This window comes from Homo sapiens, chromosome 12, assembly GCF_000001405.40.
Source record: "Homo sapiens chromosome 12, GRCh38.p14 Primary Assembly".
Taxonomy (NCBI): Eukaryota; Metazoa; Chordata; class Mammalia; order Primates; family Hominidae; genus Homo; species Homo sapiens.
Window position 1 is genome coordinate 13,078,849 of NC_000012.12, and position 25,575 is coordinate 13,104,423.

The following is a 25,575-nucleotide window of genomic DNA, read 5'->3' on the forward strand; positions in this document are numbered from 1 at the left end:
TTCAAGGAGAACTACAAACCACTGCTCAAGGAAATAAAAGAGGATACAAACAAATGGAAGAACATTCCATGCTCATGGGTAGGAAGAATCAATATCGTGAAAATGGCCATACTGCCCAAGGTAATTTACAGATTCAATGCCATCCCCATCAAGCTACCAATGACTTTCTTCACAGAATTGGAAAAAACTACTTTAAAGTTCATATGGAACCAAAAAAGAGCCCGTATCACCAAGTCAATCCTAAGCCAAAAGAACAAAGCTGGAGGCATCACGCTACCTGACTTCAAACTATACTACAAGGCTACAGTAACCAAAACAGCATGGTATTGGTACCAAAACAGAGATATAGATCAATGGAACAGAACAGAGCCCTCAGAAATAACGCTGCATACCTACAACTATCTGATCTTTGACAAACCTGAGAAAAACAAGCAATGGAGAAAGGATTCCCTATTTAATAAATGGTGCTGGGAAAACTGGCTAGCCATATGTAGAAAGCTGAAACTGGATCCCTTCCTTACACCTTATACAACTTGTATTTTAAAGATAAGGCAAAATAAACACTGGCAAGGTAAATCGCCTCTGTGACTGCGCACTGACAGTCTGGGAATTCTCAGGCTCCCTAGTGTTTCGGGCTTGCTTTTCTACTGAATTCTTGCCACAAGGGGCACATTCTCTCAGTTCCTGAGTTGGGCTTTTTTGGAAATAGCTTCAGAGGAGTAAAGGTGCAAAGACCAGGAAGAATGTGCTGCTTTACTGGCGTCCAGTCCTTCCCCTCTTTGCACCCGTGGGCTAGCTCACTGCCTTCTGTTTATTCAGTGCTCAGTACATTTCCTGTATGAACTTATGAGTAAATAAATGTATTGTTGAACCAAACCCCTCTCCTGTTAGTGGACGGTATGTGTCCATGTTAACTGCTCTTGTTTTTGTCCTTCCTCAGTTGGAATTAACGACCTCTGGAAAGATGCCTTTTATGTTACCAGGACAACAGGGCCAAGCTCCGAAGGCCATCCAGCAGCCCTGGTGGTCAGCAAGCTTAGTCTACGGTGGGCACTAATGGAGGGCCAGATGGCTCAGCTACAGGAGTCCACCCCCAAAATTGGCCGTGGGGAGCTGCGAAGATTTCTCTCTAGGATAAAGTTTGTTGAAGCTCCCTACGAGGTGAGTGGCTGCAGAAATATTGTTCCTCTTGAGGGTTTAGGACAAATACTACCAATTCCAGCTTTGTCTTTAGAAAGTAGGCAGAATGGGGAACTTTCTTGAGTAGATGTGTATCAAGACAGTTGTTTTGGACCAACACTGTTTCCTATGGATGCCTTCTGACCATGAAGAAATGATTCTCAATTGTTTTCAGCTGGAAATAATAGCATCTTCCTTAGGGGACATTTGACAATGTGGGGTCGTGGTTTTTATTGTCCCAATGACTGACAGGGGTGGCTACGACTGGTATTTTCTGGGTTGGGGCTAGTGATGCTAACATCATGCAGGGCTTGTAGCAGTTACATACTACAAAGAATCATCTTGCTCAAAATGCTAATGTTCCCTCCCCATCCCCACTCCCAAGAAATATTATAGTCTAGTGCAAAGTTCAAAAGCTTATCATGGAAAATAACAAAGTTTCTGGGCCTTTCTGGAAGGAGGAAATGTTTACAGACTATTGGAGCTAAAGAAAAGGACGGGAAAATAGAGAAATATTCTGACCTTTAGTTTTCCTGCTTTTCTTTGAACATCTCTACCATGAAAAACAATAAAGTCACGATAACTCTTTTTCCATAGATCTAATCTGATGGAATCTTCAGTTGCAGAAGAAGTGAACAGAGTGGATACCCTCTCTACTCTCCTGTCACTGTAAAATCAGTTCTATGGAGAGAAGACTTCTTCGTCCTCATTTACCACCTCCCTGATGGTTGCAAAGGCTTGGGAAGGCATGTTGGAGTCTTTGACGGCAGCATGATCTATTTGGCTGGGGCATCTTACCTACCTTTTCAGTCCCTGCATTAATCCCCTCTAGGAACTCTGCGTGGATCGTTTGGAAATGTGAATCTCTTAAGTATTTAATTTTTTTGGTATGTCTAATTTATGAAGTCTTGCTGGGAAAGCCAGTGAAGTCTATGACTAGGAAACATTTTGTTGTACATTGTGCTGTGTGTGTGTATATTTTAGTGTTGTGGTGAAGTTATTTTCCAGGTATGTCCTAAGCTTCAGGGATCCAGTTTCTTGTCCTTCTGAAATATATCTGGTTTGTTTGGTCATTTTGAGACTTCCAGATGCCCTACCTCTGATGTTGAGGGCCACTTATTTCTCTCCTTATTCTTTCCCACCTGTACCTTGGCTACTTCCAAATTGTAGACAGAATGAGAAAGATTTATAGTGGAAGACTGAGTTAGCCATCCAAGCATTTTCATCTCTCTTGTTTTATATCCTATTTCCTTAGATTTTCCATCCATGTCTATTAAGTGACCACAAGAATAACTATATTCCTATCACAAGGGGAGCAAGAGGATGTAGTCTCAGTGACCCATCTCTGACCAAGTCCACATGTTGTGTTATATGTGGCTCTGATGGTTCTGCCAGTCATGATCTTTTTTCTGTGGCGACATCAGAAGTGTATGTTTGCATGCTGTCTTCAACTTAGAGGAGAACTGGAAGTCAGGAGCCTTTGATGTCCTTATCCTGCTGTATGTCTTCTCTGCATCTTTTTCTATAGGGCACCCTCCTTAGCTCCCCTCACTCTGTTTTCTCTTCTATTCAGGGATATGTTTCTGGACTTTTTCTTCTGCTACTTGAGTCCAGGATGCAACCATTTTGTCCTGCATCTCTTCTTTCCTGTAGAGCCTTTGAAGCATTGTATTTTGGGAAAATTCTTCTGTAAATACTATAACTTTTATAAATGGTTAAGTTATTTAGAATTATCTCCAGTGCTTACTTCTCCCTTCTTCTGTATAAATCTGCTACTTCAATTAAGTTCTCCTCTAAACTTTTAGGTCATTGTTTATATAGCAGAAAATTCAATGTTAGCGGATGGAAAACTGCTTCTTGAATAACCTTGATAGGTCATCCCTGAGTGCACCTCAGGTTCTCTCTTTACCTGGGCTTGTATCTTTTTTTTTTTTTTTTTTTTTTTTTTGAGACAGAGTTTTGCTCTTGTCGCCCAGGCTGGAGTGCAGTGGCACAATCTCGGCTCACTGCAACCTTCGCCTCCTGGGTTCAAGCGATTCTCCAGCCTTAGCCTCCCAAGTAGCTGGGACTACAGGTGCCCGCTACCATGCCTGGCTAATTTTTTTTTTTGTATTTTTAGTAGAGACGGGGTTTCACCATGTTGGCCAGGCTGGTCACGAACTCCTGACCTCAGATAATCCACCTGCTTCTGCCTCCCAAAGTGCTGGGATTACAGGCGTGAGCCACCATGCCCGGCTGGGCTTGTATCTTTTAGCTTGTGTTAGTAAAAGGATTCTAGAAAATTATGAAGTCCAGATTCAAAGGGATCTCTGTTAATTACCCACTGACAGGCATTATGACCTAACAGGAGGTTGGTAGCAGTAGATCCAAGCATGCATGTTGCCTGGCCTGTAGATTGGCCTTATCAGGTTTCTGGGTGCCTCTGCCTTAAGATCCTGAAGGCAAATTTTGTTTCAACAGTTTGGAAGTCATCTGTGGGTCCAGCTTGACTTTGGAGGAATAAGAAGATACTTCTAGAGTATGGGAATGATTCCAGATAATTTCTGGGATTTGAATCTACTTGAGTTTAAGGGCCTGGGACCTAATTTGGTTTAGTATAGAATTTGAAGAATTAATTTATAGGCAGCTGAATACCCAAAACTTGGGTGGTGGTCCTGTGGTTTGGCTGAGCTGTCCGGGCATAACCTGGTTCTCTGTTATGTTAAGGCTTTCTGGGAAGCCAGCCACTCTGCGCAGGAGTGAAACATGAAGTTGTTTTCTGAGGACCTGTTTTGGTGGGATTGTTTGGGCAGAGGACTGTGTTTATGCAGGGCAAATCCCAGAAAGATAAGAGGAAGCTAGAGAAACTTAATGTACCTGAATTCTTCATGGTGTATTTGCAAACTAACTTAACATAGATTCTTTTGACTATGGTAAGTTTGAATCTCTCCTTGCCAAACAACATTATAAGTTTAGTTTTCTTCTTCCTCTTGCAGCCGGTACAGAAAGGTGTAAGTGGTGGCTGAAAATTGAGGAAGCTTCATCTGACCAATGTGGGTGCTGGTTTCTTGTGAAATGTGTCCCTAAGCCTCCTTCTCCTTGCAGGCAGCCACCCACCCAGGTGTCTAAGATAGGACATGCTCCTTTCTTTCTCTAATCCCATCCTGAGGTTGCCGGCAAAGCCAATATGACCACTACTGAGAAATAGTAATGACTTCTACAAATGCAAGGGTCTTACCCTCCTCTTTCCCTTAAACACCCTCCCTTTTCCTTAGACCCCGTTTTTGCCATCCCCCAAATGTGTGGTATGGTGAAACTAATCCCCTGAATGTGAATTGCTATCCTTATTGCCCTATTAAAGAAGAGCCAGCTGGTATATTGTCAGGAAGCACTATTTAAAATGTGAACTGTTATAGAGTAAATAAATAAATACTCTACAGGAATACACTTGTGTGCCATTCTCATTCGTCTTAGTCATCAAGGATGGTTTGTTTCCCCATATGGAAAAGAGAACGGGCAAGTAGATGGGTGGCATTCTTTTTTTTTTTTTTTTAAGTTCTAGGGTACATGTGCACAACGTGCAGATTTGTTACATATGTATACATGTGCCATGTTGGTGTGCTGCACCCATTAACTCGTCATTTACGTTAGTATATCTCCTAATGCTATCCCTCCCCCCTCCCCCCACCCCATGACAGGCCCGGTGTGTGATGTTCCCCACCCTGTGTCCAAGTGTTTTTATTGTTCAATTCCCACCTGTGAGTGAGAATATGCAGTGTTTGGTTTTCTATCCTTGCGATAGTTTGCTCAGAATGATGGTTTCCAGCTTCATCCATGTCCCTACAAAGGGCATAAACTCATCCTTCTTTATGGCTGCATAGTATTCCATGGTGTATATGTGCCACATTTTCTTAATCCAGTCTATCACTGATGGACATTTGGGTTGGTTCCAAGTCTTTGCTATTATAAATAGTGCCGTAATAAACATATGTGTGCATGTGTCTTTATAGCAGCATGATTTGTAATCCTTTGGGTATCTACCCAGTAATGGGATGGCTGGGTCAAATGGTATTTCTAGGTCTAGATTCTTGAGGAATCAGATGGGTGGCATTCTTTATGAAGGAAATAATAGGGTACATTTCTCAGAAGGGATGAAAAGGTGGGATCCAGAGAGGAGCCTATGCCCCCTTGTTCACTGGGAAGTCCCTGGTGTGACTGTCCAGAAGGGAACCACAGTCCAATCTGAATAGCCTTGGTGGGCTATTTCTAGAAGTGACCCTGACCCTGTGTGCTGTTGGCGCCTTCTCATGTTAAACCACTCTCCTAAGGGCTCCTGGGACAATATTTAATAACACTTTTACTGGGTACCTACTGTGTGGATGCAGGACACTGTCCCAGGCAGTGTGGAGGACTTCTGTGCTATATGACAAAGCACTCAGGGGCGCTTCTGTCTTCCCATCTGTGACTTCCAGAACAATTCGCGCGTACCATGGAAAGTTGAGCCACAGTCACACTACCGTTAATTTGCTCACCTCCATTTCTCCAATTTCCAGACCAATAACTAGATGTATCAGATCCTTAAGGTCGGGAAGTGTATTTTACTCTTCTTTTTATCTCCATGGTTTAGCCCAGAACCTGGCACAGAAACTATCAGTAAAGAAGGGAATTCTGGATGTGTGAGATGTGGGGTGGGTGAAACAAGATGGAGCTGTAGAGGAAAAGAGAGCAGTGGCACCCAGGAATCCCTTAGGACTTAAAGATAACCCTTATTCATAGCCTTATTCGTAGCCTCTAAAAACCATGCTCAAGAGACGGATGTTGGCTTAAGCACATGTTGATAATCAGCAGACGTGTAAGGTAGGGCTCAAGCCTACTCCCCAAACCCGCTTAACTCCTAACACTGCTCTTCCTCTACAGATGACCTAACTGCTTCTTTCAGCTCCTGGCTGGCCCCTCTTTGAAATCCCTTGTTCCGCAGCTCGGAGTAGAAGTCGACTCCCTCAGAGACAGAGTGGATGGGCTGATTATGATACTGGTGGTAGCTGGTCAAAGGACCCACGGTGGGGGCTGCACTTGACAGCCGCCGAGGGAAACACTGATGGTGATGTGGTAGGCAGTTCGGGTTTTCCTTGAAGCTCTTACTATGCTTGCACTTGAACTCCAGCACCATCCTGGTGTACGTGTTGAAGGTGGTGACAGCCGACGCCATGCAGCAGGTGAAGGAGAGCCAGGCCATGCTAGGGACAAATGCACAAAAAGATTGGACAGTAAGAATAGGACTTTCTTGAGAGAAAAATGCCATGACCTCTTCCTACTAGTGGACTAGCTTATTGCCTTGTAGGGATTTAGGGACTTTCCACCATGTTTCAGGTAAAGAACTGTGGGAAGAGAACTTACTGGTTTCTAAAAAGAGAATGACTCATGTAGTCCTAGTATCAGACAAGGAGCTTAATGGATTTGTTTTCACTGAATTGATGAGTTGTCGGTGCCATGCCCTTTTCTATCTGGTGTGCCTATTGTGTGTGTATGTCTGTGCATATTTGGACTCCTGTTTCCCAAGCTGCATTGACCCTTGTAAAATCTCCAAGATTCCCCAGGCCTGAAGCTGAGCTGTATGCAGTGGACATAACCTACTGCATACCCTCCCTCTCCCACCCCAACACACACACACATGCCCTGCCAAAGATGTCCCCCCACTCAGATGCTGGGAGGAATCATCCCTCTTCCATCTTCCTTTGTTTTGAACTTAGCAGTCTTAGGGTCCAAAAAGGTGAGCCTCTGAAAGTCATTCAGGAAAACATTTACTACAAATCAGGAGGTATTATAGGTTGTACTAGTGGAATTTGCTTCATATGGAAACAGTGTGGTTTTGGCTTAAGGGAGTTTGTAATGGGTGGGAGAGGAGCTGGAGATTAAGAGAATGTGGATGGATTCAAGAAAGGAAAAGAAGACATTAGGCAACCATATTAAACACATTCCTGAAAACTTGGAAAGTCAAATCCCTAAATCTCCCTGTGGTTCTGGGAAGCTCAGGAAACAGGAAGTTTTGTGAGGTTAGGGAGGGATTTCATGAGGCCAAGTGATGGTTAAAGCCAGGTCACATGCGGGCACTGTGTGTTCATATCTGCTGCCTCTGACAAATGCAGTAGGTTCAGTCTGGGATGCTTCTGGGAGTTGACTAATGGGCGTTGCCTAGCCTGAGCTCCACAGCCGTTAATGCCAAGAATGGCCTGAAGACAGACAAAAGGTGAGAAGTGCTGGATCTGGGAGCTGCATTGAGCTGATGCCCTGGCTGGTGTAGTAGACTCAGACTCCCAAATTATTAGCGCAGATTGTACCACAGGAAAGGGGATAGGGCCTCACAACAGACTTGCAGGCTTCCTTCCCCGAATGGAAACTTGAGCCCATCACTGTGTCTTTTCAGTGCTCTCAAAGTACTTAGCACTTAGACAGTAAATATCAGTACAAGTTGGCAACTTGCTGTGAATAAAGAGTGCTCCTTAAGGGAGAAAGTAAGAGCTCTCAAAGATAATATTTAACTTGAATGTGTTGCTTTGTGATGGTTGCTGTCGCTCTCTTTTTAAGAGAACTCTAAAATGACTGACCCCTTAGTTCTTTAAGGGTTAGAGAATGACCCTAGGGTAGTGAAGTTTTATTTCCAACACGGTTCAGTAGAATAAAAATGGATATAGAAGGAAGTGAAGAGGAGAGGAGTAAGCCATTTACAGAGAATGCAATTCAATCCAAATTTCAAAGCGATTTCTCTATTTCTCTGTTCTCTAATACCTTGAATCATAAAAAAAAGAAAAAAAAAGAGCACATTTCTATAAGGCCTACAGAATCAGTCTTGTTTCCCCAGGGTGACAAATATACCAGGTAAAGAGGCAACTGCCACAGCTGATGAGCAGGAAAACTGGACAAAATAACATCCTCCCAAGACACACTCGAGGAATCCTTCCTGTACCCCCTCAGAAGGCAGGGAAGAATGGATGTGCCCTGATGATGCAGCCCTGTGTGGTTGACAGGCTCTTGGGATGAGGGATGAAGAGAAGGCAGGGCTTCACCGAATAAGCATCTAGCTGAGGGCAGAAAATCTCGTGAAGGTTGGCTGGGGCTACAAAGGTTCAGGAGATGACAGCACTTACTAGAAGGCCCAGCCATAATTCCAAACATGTGGTCTCCAGTCTTCTGGACCCAAGTTGACAGTCGCTTGGAAGACTTGTGAATACATCATGTGGGCCACCATCCCCAGGAGACCTACCAAGGAAACAGGAAGGCAGAGCCCTTAGAGAAAGGCTTTCATGCCATCTGCCAGGAGTACGATTTTGGATCACCCTTCTTGCAGTCAGGCGCAGCCTCTGTTGGAGTAGCCCATTACCCTATGCCACCACATTTCCCGAAGACTAATTCACAATGGGGGCTTCTCCTTAAATACACATCTTTGCAATAGGTGACCCCAGACTGTAGGCTGAGAGCTATGGAAAAAGTCTGAGTCAAGGCTGCACCCAAGGCCACTGCACACCACCCCTACTCCTTCCCACCCACACCCCAATGTTGGCTTAATTCTTCATCTTATATGTGCATCTTTCACTTTATCCAATGGAGACTGGTCTTGAAAAGCTGTGTGTATGTCACAACTGAAAAGTAACCCAAACAATAGATTTTACATATTGAGAAAGCTTGCAAATAAAGGAACCTAGAGGTAAATCATTTTGTAAAGTACACGGTGATCCAATATACAATTTTGTATGTTACTTCAATTTAAAATTAAAGATGCCTACCTCCATTCTTTAAAGAGCCTTTGGGCTCCTCCCCTTCAGGGCAAAGACTCAAGCCCTCCAGCTAGGGCTTCAAAAGTGGCCAGGGCCAACCACCCTCTCTCACTCCAGGAGCAACTCACCTGACAGGACAGAGGAAACAGCAGCAAAGGCGCTCAGTTTGAGCCCACAGGCAGGGTTCCCAGTGAGTAGCAAGTCTGTTAGTAGCAGGAGGAAGCTGATGAATTGAAGTCCGATGTAGGTGATCTGCGTTCCCAGGGATAACCATAGGATTTCTGCCAGAAACCAGAGGAAGAGGGAGCGCTCACCCTGACAGTTAAAAAACTGAATAAGCGGTGAGCATAGGATGCCTATTAGGAGTTAAGACCCTAGCAGCATCTGAGAAGGGGAGAATGAGGCACAGCTGAAACCAGGGAGGAACATTACTTCATTTCTAGTCCTTTGACGTCACTCACAGCTCCCACTCCATAACCAATATATACCCAAGTAAGCTTGACTGACTGTAAATACTGTTGGGGAGATTTGAGAAGAAATCATCGAATTTTCATAAATCCTGCAGGGAAATAATGTTGCTCTAGTTATCATTTTTTGTCTTTTTCCTCATTTAATTTTGGGGTGGTTCCCTCCCTGCCTCCCTTCTTCACTCTTTTCCTTTCATTTTACCAAATAATAATAATAATAGTGGAGAAAAAGGAGGAAAAAGCTAAGCCTTCCTACATGGTTACTTGGCAACAAGAGTAGGTTAGCACTGTTGGTGGTTTTCTATTTGTGAATCTTATTTATCCCTGCTGTTCTGTTTTTGCATTCCTGCATATGAATGAAAGTCAGCTCAAGGAGGAATTTGTGTCACCCTTTGGGGCTCAGAAGAGAAAAGTGGGAGATCACAGTGCAGTTTAGATCCGGAGAGGCCCAAGTCAATGGTAACTACTGTAAATTCCTTATCAGACACATACTTGCCACAAAGCCCCAAGGGAGGGGAGGGGAGGGAAGCCTTCTCCATCAACCGCTTCCCTCCAAATCGGAGAGTGGGGTGACATGGGCCTTGCAACGTGGCAAATTCCAGTAGTCCTTTCTCACCTCTCTTGGCTGGTGGTGTAAGTTCAATGAAACTTCGGCACCTCTCCCCTGAAACATACAAGGTACAACGTCATGGAGCTACTCCCTGGGATGGTTGGAATGAAAACCTTCCCCACCCCATAACTGGTACTGCTCCCTCTGCTCTGACAGCACCTGCCCCGCATAGAGCAGGAAAGCAGGAAAGAATGCCTGGGTGAATGAATGGCACAGCCAAGAGTCAGCCCAGGTGAATTTCTCTCTTCAGTCTCTGATAATGCAGAAGATGTTTCCATGAGAGCACCTACATAGCTTAGTGTTCCCATTTCCCGTGTCCAGAAGAGTTAATGATCTTAGTGTTAACTAATACCTTTTGCTGCCGCTGTACCACTGGACCGAAGGGCTCTAAATTGTTTCCAGGACTGGGGATGGAGCAGTGCTAAGTGGCACAATAATAAATATAAATGTAAATACACACATTTTTTTAATTCCTCTTCCATCTCGCTTTTAGCTGAAATAGGGAGAAGTAGCAGATATCAAATTGTTCATGATTCTGGGCATTAGAAGAACTTTAGTACCAGGTGCTTTCTTCCCAGGCCGGTCACCTTTCAGTGCTCTTGGGCAGGGAAGAGGAGGTGTCTTCAGCTCATTCCTCCAAACCTGAGGAACGCACATCGACCAGCACCTGCCTGCTTTGCTAGTGTGCACTGAGGGGCAGGAGACCTGGCAGATCTGCCTTCAGCTCCTTGAGGGCTCTCTTACATGATCAGTTACCCTGGCTGGCTGGCTTCGGTTCCCCCACTTTTAAATGGTAGCGGTAATACTTAGAATGAGAAAATACTTTGGGGCCAGGAAGAGGCTGTAAGATGATCTGCTGTGATGCTTTCATCTCACAAATGAGCAAATCAAGACCTATAGAAACGAAGTTATAGGCTGGGCATGGTGGCTCATGTCTGTAATCTCAGCACTTTGGGAGGCCGAGGTGGGCAGATCACCTGAGGTCGGGAGTTCGAGACCAGCCTGACCAACATGGAGAAACCCTGTCTCTCTAAAAATACAAAATTAGCCGGGTATGGTGGCACATGCCTGTAATCCCAGCTACTTGGGAGGCTGAGGCAATAGAATCGCTTGAACCTGAGAGGCGGAGGTTGTGGTGAGCCAAGATCACACCATTGCACTCCAGCCTGGGCAACAAGAGCAAAACTCCATATCAAAAGAAAAAAGAAATGAAGTTACTTGTATGAGGTCACAGTTGAGCAGAGCTAGGGCTTTCCTACAATATTCCTCTCCCTTCGTTTTGTTTCTAAACAGCAATTCTAGCTCCCTAGACCAGAAATTCTCATAATGTGAAAGGTCTAAATGAAACTTTTAAGGTTAATTCTATTTTTAACATGCTATTTTGAACCAACAAGTCTACTACAGAGGGAGGAAGTGAAAATCCAGAGGACTTTCAACCTTATTAAAAGGGGCTCCTATAGAGAAGGACACTGGACGGAGGTGGAAGGTTCTGTGCTGGGAGAAGGGAGTGAGGCCCACTGGGGTGTGGGCAGTGCTGCACTTCCAGGGCAACGCCAGCCCTAAGCGGGCCTACCTGATTTCCATGCCTGCATTAGATCCCTTGCCCGCCCTGACCCCGTTGCTCTTATATCCCAGAATGTAGGCTACCTGGTTCTTCCACAGTTTCCTCACAGGATAGCCACATGCCACTCCGGAAGCTCCGGAAGGAGAACCGGTCATCCCCAGTCTCCCAGTTGTATTGTACCACCTCCTGGGTGGATGTGTTGGTATCTCCATCCAGGGACACTGGCATGTCAAAGCACTTGGCTGCCAGACCTTTCTCGCACAGGGGCTTGGGCACCTTCTGTGTGCCCACAAACCAGTAGTTGCTGAGCAGGGATGTTGTGGAGAAGCTGAGTGATAGCATGCTGAGGATGGCAGATAGGAGTGTCCGCTGGCCAGAGAAGGCCTTCGAGAGCTCCATCTGTAATAGACAAGCACAAGTGGAAGGGAAGGGAGCAGGGGAGCTTGACTCAGAGCCGCCTCGGAGATGTGGCCATCCTTCCCTGCACTCCCTCCGCTCAAGCCATACTCCTCCAAGGCAGATAGGCACAACCCGCCTCTGACATTTTTCTCCAGGGGCCGCATGGAAGCCCCGCTTCAGGAGTGGTCTGCAGCAAGCACCCTGAGGGCGTAAGAAAACCATACGCCCAAATGGGGGCCTCAGAAGCAGCTCTCTCTGACATTCTCCTGTCCTCCTGTCTCAGTCCCACTCTTTCCCAAGGCTAGCCACAGAAACTAGAATCCCTCTTTCTCAAGGTGGGTTGTAGAAACCAGAGTCCCTTTCCCCAGAGCCAGCCATAAAACCTAAAAATATTACTCTAACTTTCCCTCTGCCTTCCCGTGTCCAAACTGGCCCTAAAGAGGTTATCTGACCTAGCTTGTGTGACTGTAGGTCATAAGACTCCCATTCCAGAGAGGGTCCTGCCCCACACCCAGAAGGAAGAAATGCACGCTCAGAGAGGCCAAGGAGAAGCAGCCCTTGCTGGGTTTCCCCACTCAATCTATTAACATTATTAGATCAGGCCAGATGCAGTGGCTCATGCCTGTAATCCTAGCACCGTAATCCCTTCCAGAGGTGGGAGGATCGCTTGAGTTCAGGAATTCATGACCAGCCTGGGTAACATAGTGAGACCCTGTCTCTACGGAAAATAAAAAAATTAGCCGGGCACGGTGGCGCACGCCTGTAGTCCCAGCTACTTTTGAGGCTGAGGTGGGAGGATCACCTGAGCCCAGGAGGTTGAGGCTGCAGTGAGCCACGATCATGCCACTGCACTCCAGTCTGGGCAACAGGGCTATCTGTCTCTAAAAAATAAATAACAACAATAGATCATGGCCTTGATGTCCAATCATATTTCTATGTGACTGTCCATACTTTGTTGAACCTAAGCATAAAAATAGACAATTTTCCCTTCATCTTTGTGACTTCATTCTGAAGGTTCCCACGTCACGTGAAACTACGATCAAATAAACTTGAATGTTTTTTCTCCTATTAATCTGCCTCTTATCAGTGGTTTTCAGTGAACCTTCGGAGGGCAAAGGGAAAGTTTTCCCCTGGCTTTTACACAACACGGGGATGATGCATCTTTAAGTTGAACCTTACACAGATCCAACTACAGAAAAGTGGTGATTTGCATAGATTGAATGACAGGGGCTGGCCTCTGGGCATGATATGCAGCAATACACAGAAGTAGGATAAAGGTGATCCACCAGAGAGGACAAATTAGAATGAGGAATGCAGAAGTCAGAGTGAATTGGAAGTGAGTATGTTAAAATCTTCCATTTCTGCCTCAAATGGTGAGAGTGGAATCAACATAGCCTCCAGCCGGCAAATCCTAGGGAGGATGTATGTGTGTGTGTGTACCTTTATGGTGAGTGCCATAATGACCCCACCAACAAACAGCAGGGGGATCTTTCTGAGTAGCAGTGATGGATCTGCCAGCAGCCACTACCTGGAGTTCTTGGACCAGCAGATTGAGCGAGAGAGAGAGAAGGTGGATTGCTGCACATTTGATACCACTGCTGGCCAGGCCCTGTCTACTGAAGTCCTGCCCCTTCTGAGGCTCACCCCAAGTCCCAACTGCTTCAGGGAGGTCCCCTAACCAGCACCTTCCATGGGAAGTGAGGCTTGGAAGGGCTTCAAGGACTGTGGTGTGTGCCTTCTTAATAGTACTCTTTTCACATTTATTTTTGGTCATGTCTTATCTTCCCTCCAAGATTTCAAGCTGCCATTAGGTAGCAAAAACGTGTCTTTGTAATTTTTATCTTTCCCACAGCAACTAGCACAGTATTTTACACATTAGACACTCAACACTAAACTGCTGAGTAAATTGAGGGTGTTCTGAATAAGCATCAGATAGCAATAACCTCAGTCAGAGGATATATAAACTTTTTCTTTTTTTTTTTTTTTTATTGAGACGGAGTGTCACTCTTGTTGCCCAGGCTGGAGTGCAATGGCACAATCTCGGCTCACTGCAACCTCCAGTTCCCGGGTTCAAGAGATTCTCCTGCCTCAGCCTCCCGAGTAGCTGGGATTACAGGCGCCTGCCACCATGCCTGGCTAATTTTTTTTTGTATTTTTAGTAGAGACGGGGTTTCACCATATTGGCCAGGCTGGTCTTAAACTCCTGATCTTAGGTAATCTGCCCGCCTCGGCCTCCCAAAGTGCTGGGATTACAGGCGTTAAGCCACCACGCCTGGCCGGTTATATAAGCTTTTAACTTTATGTAAAATAACATTAATACATATAAATATATAATTATATAATTAATAATTGACAAGGCAATTGATAACTTCTGGAAAAGTTTTATGTAAAGTCTAAACTTTATATAAAAGTTTAGAAAAAAGAATTGGGAGCATTCCAAATGCTCTTTGTGATAATCGTTTTTGGCTTTGTCTTCACTGACAGGTAGTAGCACTGACTTGCTGAAGCATTTGCTATTGTAACAAAGTGAGCTATTGGTGTCCTTTTCCCTGCATTACAGATTCCTCTGAAAGGAGTCATAGCAATGAATATTAAACTGGAAATCTCCGGGGGAAGCAGATGGATGCTTTGGGGCCTGGAGGATAAAAGAGGGCAGTGAACCTACTGGGATGTGGGGCTATTGAAACCTTTGGAAAGGAGATGGGGCTTATGGTTCTGGGAGAGGTAGCAGTCGGGCCCAGCTTCCATCCACTGCCACAGAGACAATAGAGTTTCAAATGCGAGGTGGCTGTGTGGTGCCTGTGTAGGCTGGACACCAGGTTTGGTGTCCACAGAGCCATGGGTAGGGTGTCGGCAGCCAAGCCCTTGGTCAGTGGAGAGGAACCTGGAGGGCCGTGTCTTCCAGCCTGGTGCAGAAGTGCCTGCCTCACAGTGGGGACATAGGGGAGGCTGCCGAAAGAACTGAGGCCCCAGATGGCTCTGGCAGGAGCCCCTACTCTCCATGTCATTTTCAGCCTAAGAGAAGAGGAGGCAAGCTAAAATATGACTGGTATTAGACGGCCAACTTTGCTGAGTGGTGGCTTGGAGCCAGATTTAATTGGACTTAGAGAAGTAATTTGGCAAGTCTCTCACTTTGTGTTAGAGCAGTTTATACAGTTATATTAATGCACATGGAACAGAAAAGAAGCCCATGGTTAGTTGCTGACAGACGCTTCTTAAAGTAAACCTTCTTGAGCTTTCCAGGGGATCCTTCATATCAGAATTAATCACACTTAAATCTGCTTATCTTAAGAGCCATAAATAAAACCATAGCTAAATGGACAGGTCCATAAATTTCCCTCCCTTATCACACCCAGCTTACTGTTTCTACATTTAAGAGAGAACTTTACCTGAGAAATGAAACAATTTGTTCTTCAGAATTTCCAGGGACTAAGACAGTGCATATCACAAAATGCTTATTATTTATGGCAATAAGAAATACACAAAGATCATATGTATGTAAAACCAATATGTAAAACATGATAAAGACAACTTCTGAAAAGCAATCTGCTAATATGATTTTACTTTTAAAGGCACTCAACAAATTAACTCTGCCAAGAATTGTCAGTTCTTGCAAGACTCTGGGTGACCTTGACTAAGGACAAAAAATCCGCAGCATCTGGGAGGAGGAAAGATTTTCTGTTGGTAGACACTGAAGTCGCGTGTTGCCCAGTTCCCCTTTCCTAAAATGTTTTCATCTTGGTTTTAGTTATGAAAATCCTATGGGTTTTAGTCATCATTCTCTTACTGTGAGTCATCCTTTCTAATAATTCTTACATTGCTTGAATAAGAAATGGACTTCCAGGTAAAACATCTTCACTAACTATTTGGTGTAAAGACTGACCTAAAGACTTAGGCAATTCTAACTTTTGTGACCTCAGCATTCATTTTTCAACAATCATTTTCATTCTGGTTTGGAAATTTGTCTATTATCACATCAGATTTTAACCCCACACTCAATCCATTTCAAGTTATACTTGCAAGATTTTTACTCCACATTCAATCCACTTCAAGTTATATATATTTGCAAGTTATTCTCGGGGTTATTCAGAAATAAGAAAGAATAACGAACCCCATACTAAGATACACCCACTTTGTGGCACCAAGGTGACAACCAATTTAAGGAAGAGGCAATTTGAGAAACAAAGAATAAAAAAGAGCTTGGACTGAAGCTCAAAGAGGTTCCTTCCAGAAGGAGTGTCCACCAGGGAGAGACACAAGGAACCTCATTCAAAAATCATCTTCTTGATATCGAATGATCATCTCATTCAAGAATTTTCAAGAATTATCTCCAACACCTATAGTACCATGCCCTTTGTCACATACTTTACTCCTTTCCCCAAACATGCCTTTTCCTGCTAGGGTCGGGATACCTCTTGAATTGGAAGAACAAATCTAATTTTGCAATGGTTTCCATAAAGTGATCCTGAAGAAGTAATGGCCATAAGAACAACTCTATCTTTGTGTATGCAACAGATCCCATGCCAAGGTGACTCTTTACTCGCTAGAAAAGGGACAGAGTGGTTTCTCTAACACTTGGGCCCTTAGATCATTAGGAAGTGCGTAGGCGCCAATGTATAATCAGTAACCCTTACATCAGCATATATTAACAGAGTAACCCAGAATTAGCATAGGCTAGGAAGGACAACAGATCGATGAGGCAGGTGCACTTCTTAAAAGAGCCAGGTACAAAATAGCTGTAGACTGCATCCTTTGAGCAATAGGAGGGGAAGCCGGTTACCTTGGCCATGGTCAGCGTCTTGCAGCTTGTCTGGAAGAACCGAAGGATGCCATCTGCACTCCAAGTCCCTTTGGTTTAATGTTGCAAGAATGCAAACTGTCTTCCTACCCTCCTCCCTCTCCTCCTACCCCTCCCCTTCTATCTCATATTCTTTGGAGTGCCTCATGATTAAATGCTGCCTTACAGGGAACACGGGCATTTAATAATTGACAAGGCAATCAGGGCCCAGCTGTTCTGGGAGATTACACCAGAGAGCTTGCCAATGGGGATCTGGGATTAAGCACAAAGAAGCAAGGACCTGCAATTTGCAGAGGAAATTTTCTTTAAAAAGTAAATGATGGTTTAGTTTCCACTGCCTGCCATTCCCTAGGTAACTGGTGTGAATGGATTGGGCTTGGATTTATGACAGACGAAGATATGGCAGGTCACCATCACTGCAGAAGTTTACCTTCCCTCGAGTAGGGTTTCCTATCCCTTTGAAGAAACTCTATTCTCTGCAATGTCGGGGCCTCATGGAGCCATGAACAGGAAATAGCTTCCTTGTTCCATGGGTGGTCTCCACCTTCCAGTTAGAACATTAGAATAAGTACTATTGCCGGGCGTGGTGGATCACGCCTGTAATCCCAGCACTTTGGGAGGCCTAGGTGGGCGGATCACAAGGTCAGGAGATTGAGACCATCCTGGCTAACATGCTGAAATCCCGTCTCTACTAAAAACACAAAAAAATTAGCCGGGCCTGGTGGCGGGTGCCTGTAGTCCCAGCTACTCGGGAGGCTGAGGCAGGAGAATGGTGTGAACCTGGAAGGCAGAGCTTGCAGTGAGCCGAGACTGCGCCACTGCACTCCAGCCTGGGTGACAGAGTGAGACTCTGTCTCAAAAAAAAAAAAAAAAAAAAGAATAAGTACTATTAAGTATCTCCCTCTACACATGGAATGCTGAGTGAGAATGTTGGCTGGGGATGTGGCAAAGATGCAGATAGAATAGGATTGGAGATAAATGAATTCCAGGATCTGGAATGCCATGGCTATTTACCATTCCTCTCCCAACCTTCAGGCAAAGGAATGACAATATTTTATATTTCAAAAAAGAGTTTCTAAAATGCTGAAAAAGTAATCTAAGAAACCAGTAAGGGGTCGTTTGCATATGTTCTTGCCACCAGTCAGCCAGAAGTACAAGTTGTTCTTTCTCTCCTCAAAATTGTACAAATAGCTGGGCGCGATGGTTCATGCCTGCAATCCCAGCACTTTGGGAGGCTGAGGCAGGTGGATCACTTGAGGTCAGGAGTTCGAGACCAGCTTGGTCAACATAGTGACACCCTGTCTCTACTTAAAAATACAAAAAAATTAGCCAGGCATTGTGGCAGGCACCTGTAATCCCAACTACTTGGGAGGCTGAGCAGGAGAATCTCTTGAACCTGGGAGATGGAGGTTGCAGTGAGCCGAGATTGTGCCACTGCACTCCAACCTGGGCCACAGAACGAGACTCCATCTTTAAAAAAAAAAAGTGCAAATTAATTGGGACACCAATGTTGAAAGAGATTCTGCCGCTGTTTGTGAGTCCCTAAACCCTGCATGGACTTTCATCCTCCAAGCCTTTGCTGATGCTCTTCCTTCTGCCTGGACTGCCTTCAATCTCTTTTTACCTGGTGAATTGCCTGCCTTTCAACGAAATTAGTCTAAAAAGTCATCCACTCTTTGAAAATGTTTCTTTTCTCCCTAGGACAGACAGCTCCCTCCTCATGATCCTTGTCACACTATATCTTGCAACACTTATTTTTTTTTTTTAATTTTAATAGAGACAGGGTCTCACTATGTTGTCCAGGCTGGTCTCGAACTCCTGGGCTCAAGCAATCCTCCCACCTTGGCCTCCCAAAGTGCTGGGATTACAGGCGTGAGCCACTGCACCCGGCCTTCTCACAACACTTTCTGTATTCCATTATAACTACTGCATTTGTCTGAAATGTAACTTCCTCAAAGGTCTCACTTTCATTTTAGAGCAGTCGTTCTCAGTTCTGATGAACTGAGTTCAGAACAATCTTTGGAAGTTTGGAAAATATGCCGATTCCTGGACCCACCCTGAGATTTCATAGTAGTTCTGGGTGAGGCCCAGGAATTGGTAATTTTAGAAAGTTCTTAATATATACCCAGGGAATTCATGTAAAATGGCACCTGTTCAACTCATTTTGGGCTTACATTTAATAAAACCCTCTGTATCCGCCCCCGGCCGTTCCTCCCCCTCTTCCAGACTAGCCATGAGGTCATGTTTTTCCCATTCTATATTTGTGCAGTTCGTTTAGGGAATCAAAGGCAGGTTCTTCTGAACTTAATTGTTTGAATTAGTCCACGTTCTAGCCAAATGAGTTGCTTCGGATCCTGCTTTTGTCACCTGTAATGTCTGCTCTCCTCAGACTGATGTTAACAAGCAAATTTGATAAACATGTGCCATGTGCAGGTACATTTTCTGCATCGCCCAAACAACCCTTTATTTGTTGTGACAGAACTCACTCTCCTTTGGAAGGAGAAGCAGGAATTTTGTGTTCTTTGTTTTTTTTTTTTTTACGGTTGCATTGGCGGTTGGTTTCCTGGCTAGTAGTTTCATCACAACGCTGGGTGGCGCTATCTCCTCGTCGTTTCCGCTTCCGTCACGTGCTTCCCCCACCAGTCGGCAAAATGTGGGTGGAAGTGGCTGCTCCTCCCCATAGGATCCTTTTATTTATTTATTTTTAATTTGGCATCCTCCCTGCCTGCTAATCTACAGAATGCCGTGTGTCAGCTCTATGGAATTCAGGGCTCAGGCTGAACTTTGGGGCATCCAGCCACTCCCTATAGGAGTCTTGTAGGATTGTTTCATGTAGCCCATTTTTTTTTTTTTTTTTTTTTTTTTTTTTTTTTTTTGGGCGGCCAGTTCCAGCTTCAGTGACTCAGTAGATCCTCAAATACTTCCCATGGGAAATACAACTCCACGGTATCAGAAAATACAGTTAGCCAATGTTTCCTGATGAGTTTTGTGCACATTTTTCTTGATTGTATCTTCAGTCCCTTTCCACCCCAGAACAGTGAACAATTATTTTCCCCTCTCTGTGCTTACACCCTTCAAATACTTGCAGACACTTCTCATAGCCCGCTTGAGTCACTGTTTGGCATGGCCTGATGTCTTTGGTTTTTATTGCCTCTGCTCATAAACTGCACCCCCTGTGCCTTAATAGCCTGAAGTTCGCCTTCTCCAGGGAAATGGGGATGGGAGTGGCAGACTCTTAAGTGTGTTATATGAGGAGGCTCAGGGGTGGATTTAGAGTGAAGCTAATGAAACTTCAGCTTCCATGTCCCCTACTCACTCCACCTCTTCTAAAACCTTGTTACCTAATTTACACTTGTAATTGTGTACTCTTTTTCTTAAAGAGGGCCTCCGAAATTATATTATTTTAGGCCTCCACAAAGCCTGGGTCCACCCCTTAGGAGGCTGTGCATTTTGTGTGTGTACTTGGCTGCCTGGCTGCTGAATGTGACCAGTCTTGATTCCCCCTCCCCAAGGACCCTGGGCCACAACGTCTAATTTCCTCTTTTTGACAAAACATGAGTTTCTCTGCCTGGCCACAAACATCAGAGCCCAGCATCCCACTCACTTCCTTTCATTGTAATTTGGGCATGTTAATATTTTTTTCTTCCTTTTCCTCTCTTAGAACAGAAGAAGTAATTGCTAGTCAATGTGACATAAATATAATTAGGTTCGGCTCAGAAGCTCATGACTCAGCACAGACACGAAGATTCCACACCTAAAAACAGTATTTAGCTCTGGCATGTTGGACTGTGACTATTCCAAGATGACCTCCGCAGGAATATATATGCACTTCACCATTTATGACACCACAAGGCCAACAGTGGGGACTAACCCATATTTGCTGAGGTCCTCAGTCACTGTTTCCTGTACTGGACAGAACCACATTTACTAGGCTGTGCATCAAGAGAAAACAGTGGTGTTGGGGCACCTACACATACTTCGTAAATGGGAATGCAATTTATTGTTTTGTGAGTTCACTGCAGGTTAGAAGTGATTAAATGACAAGCGTGAATGCTGAGCCGGAGAGCAGGTTATATACCACACCACTTCTCTAATGCCAAGGCCTGGGGCTAAGGGATCCGGTGTTTTTTTTTGTTTTTTTTTTTTTTTTTTGTTTTTTCTTCATGTCATCCATACTGGCATCTTCCTGGAAAGGTTTGTTTGCCCTCCCTGGCAGGAGTATCTCTGTCCTCCCAGGAGCTAGATTTCTGACCCACGCGCCATTAGCTCCTTTCTGTTACTCAGTAGACAAAGGCTGGAGTGGGTTGTAAATGTTTCGGCTATCGCCGGTCTGATGACCATGCATGCCCCTGGCCCTGTTCTTTGCTTCTGCATGTCCTAGCATGTGCCTCTCTCGTGTAACTCATCACATGGCTTACTTGTCTGTCATGCTCATTTGACTTTAAGTTGCTTGATATAGTAGCAGCTATGTTTTATTCATTGTTGATCCTCAGAGCCTAGCAGTGTTTTAACATCTATGAATGAATGAATGAATGAATGAATGAATGAATGAGATTTGTAATGCAAAAAGGTTTATGGATACAATTAGAAATCCTGAATGAAGATGTGAATAAAGAAGTGTGTCCAAACAGCCTTCTGTTGCTAAAGGAAACAGGACGCTTCTGGATTCACGTATGTAAGAGCAGCGAGAAGCTACAAAGGAAGCCCTGGGTCCACAGGCACACCCTAAGCCTTTCCAGGCAGATGCACCCAGAGTTTCATCAAACAGATTCTCTGCCAATCCATTTCCTCTCACCTGTGGAAACATTCCTGCTTTTAAATGAGCAAAGCGCAGAAAACAGTGATGATCTCATGAAATAGTATATTATCTTTAGTGCACAGAGATCAGGAGACAGATTGCTCAAAAACCAGTGACAGATTGGAAATGTTATGTCCTTTTCCAAGCTGGGTGGACCCCTACTGATTAGAGCCATTTTGGATAATGTATCTCCAAACTTCTGAGCTTTTGCTGCTCTAACTGCAATGTTTACATCAGTGCCTGACCTTATACTCTTTCACTGATGAGGACAAAGATGGTCTTCACACGGGACATTTTCACATTTGTTTCCCAGCCCGGAAGGGAAGAGTAATGCCACCAAAATGCCCGTGCTTAGTGTTCAAAATGACTACATCACTGTAGGGCACTTAGCTCCGGGATTTATTCTCAGCTGTAACCACGTTTAAGGGGCCACATCACCTCAAATGGTCGCACAATCAAATGACTCTAGTCTTCCTAACGTAGGTCCCGAGTTTTGGGAACACTTCAATTCAGTGGGAAGGACCCTGGAAAAGCGTATCGGGGCCTCGTTCTCGTCTTTCCCTTTCCGCCTTTTAATGGAATTGTTTGAGGACTTTTGCTAATGCAGTCATTTCCAGGAGAGGAAGCCGCCTTTCTTCCAGGCCCCAAGCAGCTGGAGTGAATCAGAGGGGCAGCCACATCTGCACATCCTGTGGGGCAATCGCTCACGCGCGGGTGACGGCGCCAGCAGGCCGGCTGGGGCCGGGGGCGCTTGGGGACCGCGGGGCGGGGCGGGGGCGTAACGGGTGGGGCCTCTCGGGGGTGCCTGGGCCGCGCCATCTCCACTTCCGAGCGCGCCCTCCCACCCTGATGAGTAACGCGCCGTCTCTCCCGTTTACTACGGCGCCCGGTCGCCTAGCAGCGGGGCGCGTTGCCGCGGCGACAGGCCGGCCGTGTTTGGCATTGTTTGCGAGGCCCCGCCCCGCGGCCGCCAACCACCCATGGCTTCCTGACCGGGTCGGGCGGGGGTACCCGGGCTGTTTCTTCCTCTGGGTCTTCCTCCGTCGGTTGAGAACGGTGTCCCGGGGGCCCTCCCAGAGAGCAGGGACTGCCAGGGCAGGCCAGGGACCCGGCGAGCCGCGGAGGGCGGGGCCACATGTGTCCCGGAGCTGGGCCGGGGCGCTAGGCCACCTGAGGCGCGTCCCCTCTGCCGCCTGGCGAGGCTGCGCGGGAGGGCGGAGAGACTGGGTAGTCGGAGGGATTCCTTACACCCAGGCCGGTGGGCCAGGGCTCGGGATGTGTCGAGCTGCTGGAGTCCAAAGTCAGGCATTTCCCTGCCTCTGCCCGGTAAAGCTATGGGTCCCAGGCTCCCGTTCTAAGGGAAGGGGATGTCTGCGTCTCATTGGGAAGACCCCAGGGCGGGACTTCACCACCCAGACCCCTCAGCAGATCCGAGTTCTATTTACGACCCAATGCACGACTGCACTGAGGATTTTGGCCAAGTTACTTAACCTCCCAGAGGGTTAAATTTACCCTCAGGGGTAAATGAGGGCAAAGAGTTGTCCTTCTTAGTTCTGTGAAAATCGAAAACAGGTAGAAGAAGAGTGCCTCTAAGCAGAAACGAAGGGGAAGTGCACCTGTGCTACCAGCAGACACCTTGCTAGACCCTTCAGACATCTTCCTTAATCCTCACAACCAGCCTGAAAGGGACGTGGCATCCCCATTCTACAAGTGAGGGTTCCGATTCGGAGGGTTTGACTTGCTCAAGGCCACAAAGCTAGTAAATGGTAAAGTCAACACTGGCAATCTTTGAGGACTGTTCGCCTGACTCATCACCAGGCTGCCACTCAGTAAAAGCCAAGGCACAGTCACCTTTAACAAAATGTACAGATTGCAGGCCAGATTTATGGGACCTCCTGCAGATTGAGGCAATGGATTAAGTGTACTTTATACTTCTCAGGTACATATTAGCAACCAGACGCTCCCATATTCCCTCTGTGTCTCTCCTGGAAAACCACTGATAAAGAACAATAATAAAATTTATTCTAAGCCATGACTGGCTTTTTCTGTCATGTTCACATCCACTTCTTTGTCATCTATTCACTTGGGGCTGCTTCTGAATTAGGGAAGCTGCCTGAACCCACACTCCGATGGCTCTTCAGAACCACCAGCTCAGCTCTGCAGTCCCAGAAGTGCCTCTTAAGTTATCCTGTTCTTTCCTTTGAGATCCTAACTTCCAGCTGGTCAACAACATACCACATTGCTCCCTGTGTTGGAGTGTATGTACGTGTGTGTGTGTTTGTGTATGTGCTAGTTTGCTGGCTAATTGCAAGCTTCATTTTTCTCTCCTGAGAAAGGCAAGATATCTGAGAATGAACACCATTTGTTTTTTTAAGTAATCCTTAGAGCTGAAAGTTGGGAGGCTGGTCGTTTCTGAATGTAGGTCAAATGCTAAACAAGCCGCAACTTCTCTGCAGAGTGTGAGAGTCTTCCTGGTCTGGAAGGATCCCTGAAGATTCTGCTGGATTCTCTGAGACGAGAAAGAGCTTGACTGTGTGTTGTCCTTCCCAGTTCCAGATCAGAGCTGCCTTCCAGCAGGACCTTGGGGATGCCCCACTGTTCTCTGGCATAGAGCTTGATGTCTGCTCTTTCAGCTCACTGGGGTGACACACAGCTCTATTGTTGCCACCGCTACTGGGCCTTTACCAGGCTCCAGATTTTGGCAACGGGAATAATGCAGATGAAAGGAAAAAAGGAGAGGCATAGGGAGCCCTGGGAACAGAAAGGAGAAGGAAGATGATGAGACAAGGGAAGAAGAAATGGAAGTTTTAATGAAGGAAGATGAAAAGGTAATAGGCCAAGGTATGGACATACCAGTTTTATCTATGAAAACTGGGCTGAGTGACACATTTTCATTCCATTTTGTAGAACCCTATAGTGCATTTCCAAGCTCTTTACTGTGACCATGTGAAATACATGAAATTGATGAGTTAGTGTAACCTGTGTTACAAATCCAGCAGTAAAGATATGTGTATGAGATGTTCATGAGATTTCAAAATCACTGTACCTACCTCCTGGGTGAGGCAAACATTTTGAGTCAGTTGAGAGGGATCGCTCATTCACTCTTGCAGCGGGAAGGCAGAGAAGTTTCAGTTTATCTTCTGTTCTGTCTCAATCAGTTGGGTAGAATGAGTGTTTAGCGTGAGGATGAATCAGGTCCCCTCTTGCCAGCAGAGGGGTAAGGTGGTGTGTGGTGGATTGGAGAGGATGTCCTGAGGGCCAGACACCAGCCAGGGCGGGGTTGGGTGACCCGTGGGGTTTATTCTGTGATGTCACAACGGCAGTCAGGGGTCTCCCTGTTGCTCCCTCAGCCTCCTCCCATAAGGATTGGGGGGGGTCATGCTGGGTACCTACCAGTGGCTGGATGTCTTCTGAGGTCGTCCAGATCAGTGCTTATCTTATTGTGCATAAGATTCACCTGGGGAACTTAGTCAAGTGCAGATCCTGACTTAGTCAAGTGCAGAGTCTGGGATGGCTCTCACGTGAGTCCAGCCAGACCACACTGAGTTGTGAGACTCTAGACCAGTGCTGTCAAAGCAAAATGCAATGTGGGCAGCATATGTCATTTAAAATTTTCTGGTAGCCACATTAAAAAAAGTAAATTGGACACACATACTGTGATACAGCAATCATATGTTATACAATACTATGTTTAAAATGTAGCCCTCCCCACACAATAAAGTTGGGTTTAATGAAAAATATTTTATACTACTTTCATTTTAAAATTAAAATTTAGTGAATTCAAATTACATAAAATTAGAAATTCAGTTGCTCAGTTGCACTATCCATATCATAAGGGCTCCACAGCCACACATGGCAAGTAGCTACTGTATTGGATGGCACAACTCAAGGCCATTCCCTGAAAAGGTAACAATGTACAGAAATTACCATTCTAAAGGGCTAGTATCTGGAAACCCAGCAAACATTCACTAACATCATTTTAATGAATACATAATTAGTGTTTGGGGAC

The 25,575-nt window shown here is 45.4% G+C and overlaps 2 protein-coding genes and 1 long non-coding RNA gene across 24 annotated transcripts in view, besides 8 other annotated features; 2 read left to right on the plus strand and 1 right to left on the minus strand.

Annotated features, from left to right (window-relative positions):
- FAM234B (family with sequence similarity 234 member B) overlaps positions 1–4,601 on the plus strand; it is a 39,069-nt gene extending 34,468 nt beyond the window's left edge. Inside the window, exons 12-13 of the mRNA NM_020853.2 lie at positions 941–1,161; positions 1,777–4,601. Coding sequence (NP_065904.1) covers positions 941–1,161; positions 1,777–1,782 — 227 coding nt within the window. The 3' untranslated portion in view covers positions 1,783–4,601. The remainder of the gene's footprint in view (positions 1–940; positions 1,162–1,776) is intronic.
- Positions 4,602–4,683: 82 nt separating this feature from the next.
- GSG1 (germ cell associated 1) lies at positions 4,684–24,819 on the minus strand. Of its 22 annotated transcripts, none has more exons than NM_001080555.4 (7): positions 24,617–24,819; positions 11,655–11,970; positions 10,360–10,428; positions 10,014–10,061; positions 9,059–9,211; positions 8,304–8,415; positions 4,684–6,395 (listed from the first exon to the last, which is right to left on the minus strand). In NM_001080555.4, the coding sequence occupies exons 1-7, from the start codon at positions 24,662–24,664 to the stop codon at positions 6,053–6,055; spliced, it is 1,089 nt and encodes a 362-aa protein (NP_001074024.1). In that variant the 5' UTR covers positions 24,665–24,819; the 3' UTR covers positions 4,684–6,052. The 22 variants fall into 22 exon arrangements, 21 of the variants coding, with proteins under 21 accessions (NP_001074024.1, NP_001354291.1, NP_001354292.1 ...); NM_001367362.2 differs by having other exon boundaries at positions 8,304–8,442; NM_001367363.2 differs by having other exon boundaries at positions 9,894–10,061.
- Positions 5,756–6,955: an enhancer, noted in NCBI's record as "CDK7 strongly-dependent group 2 enhancer chr12:13237538-13238737 (GRCh37/hg19 assembly coordinates)". NCBI's record gives its function as "activates an origin of replication core promoter dependent on BRD2, BRD4, P300/CBP, MED14 and CDK7 cofactors, with strong dependence on CDK7, by STARR-seq in HCT116 cells {active_cell/tissue: HCT116}" and the evidence as "EXISTENCE:reporter gene assay evidence [ECO:0000049][PMID:35650434]".
- Positions 7,945–8,767: an enhancer, noted in NCBI's record as "NANOG-H3K27ac-H3K4me1 hESC enhancer chr12:13239727-13240549 (GRCh37/hg19 assembly coordinates)". NCBI's record gives its function as "activates a minimal SCP1, AML or CMV promoter by ChIP-STARR-seq in naive H9 embryonic stem cells {active_cell/tissue: H9 hESC(naive)}" and the evidence as "EXISTENCE:reporter gene assay evidence [ECO:0000049][PMID:30033119]".
- Positions 8,768–9,589: an enhancer, noted in NCBI's record as "OCT4-NANOG-H3K27ac-H3K4me1 hESC enhancer chr12:13240550-13241371 (GRCh37/hg19 assembly coordinates)". NCBI's record gives its function as "activates a minimal SCP1, AML or CMV promoter by ChIP-STARR-seq in primed H9 embryonic stem cells {active_cell/tissue: H9 hESC(primed)}" and the evidence as "EXISTENCE:reporter gene assay evidence [ECO:0000049][PMID:30033119]".
- Positions 9,590–10,412: an enhancer, noted in NCBI's record as "OCT4-NANOG-H3K27ac-H3K4me1 hESC enhancer chr12:13241372-13242194 (GRCh37/hg19 assembly coordinates)". NCBI's record gives its function as "activates a minimal SCP1, AML or CMV promoter by ChIP-STARR-seq in primed H9 embryonic stem cells {active_cell/tissue: H9 hESC(primed)}" and the evidence as "EXISTENCE:reporter gene assay evidence [ECO:0000049][PMID:30033119]".
- Positions 10,413–11,233: an enhancer, noted in NCBI's record as "H3K27ac-H3K4me1 hESC enhancer chr12:13242195-13243015 (GRCh37/hg19 assembly coordinates)". NCBI's record gives its function as "activates a minimal SCP1, AML or CMV promoter by ChIP-STARR-seq in naive H9 embryonic stem cells {active_cell/tissue: H9 hESC(naive)}" and the evidence as "EXISTENCE:reporter gene assay evidence [ECO:0000049][PMID:30033119]".
- Positions 11,330–11,928: an enhancer, noted in NCBI's record as "H3K27ac-H3K4me1 hESC enhancer chr12:13243112-13243710 (GRCh37/hg19 assembly coordinates)". NCBI's record gives its function as "activates a minimal SCP1, AML or CMV promoter by ChIP-STARR-seq in primed H9 embryonic stem cells {active_cell/tissue: H9 hESC(primed)}" and the evidence as "EXISTENCE:reporter gene assay evidence [ECO:0000049][PMID:30033119]".
- Positions 22,198–22,427: a silencer, noted in NCBI's record as "silent region_4272". NCBI's record gives its function as "represses an Ori minimal core promoter by ATAC-STARR-seq in GM12878 lymphoblastoid cells {active_cell/tissue: GM12878}" and the evidence as "EXISTENCE:reporter gene assay evidence [ECO:0000049][PMID:35858748]".
- On the plus strand, positions 22,582–23,598 carry LOC105369666 (uncharacterized). The gene is made up of 2 exons (XR_931369.3): positions 22,582–22,892; positions 23,139–23,598. It is a non-coding gene; the product is annotated as an uncharacterized LOC105369666 (long non-coding RNA).
- Positions 22,708–22,757: a silencer, noted in NCBI's record as "silent region_4273". NCBI's record gives its function as "represses an Ori minimal core promoter by ATAC-STARR-seq in GM12878 lymphoblastoid cells {active_cell/tissue: GM12878}" and the evidence as "EXISTENCE:reporter gene assay evidence [ECO:0000049][PMID:35858748]".
- Positions 24,820–25,575: the final 756 nt, after the last annotated feature.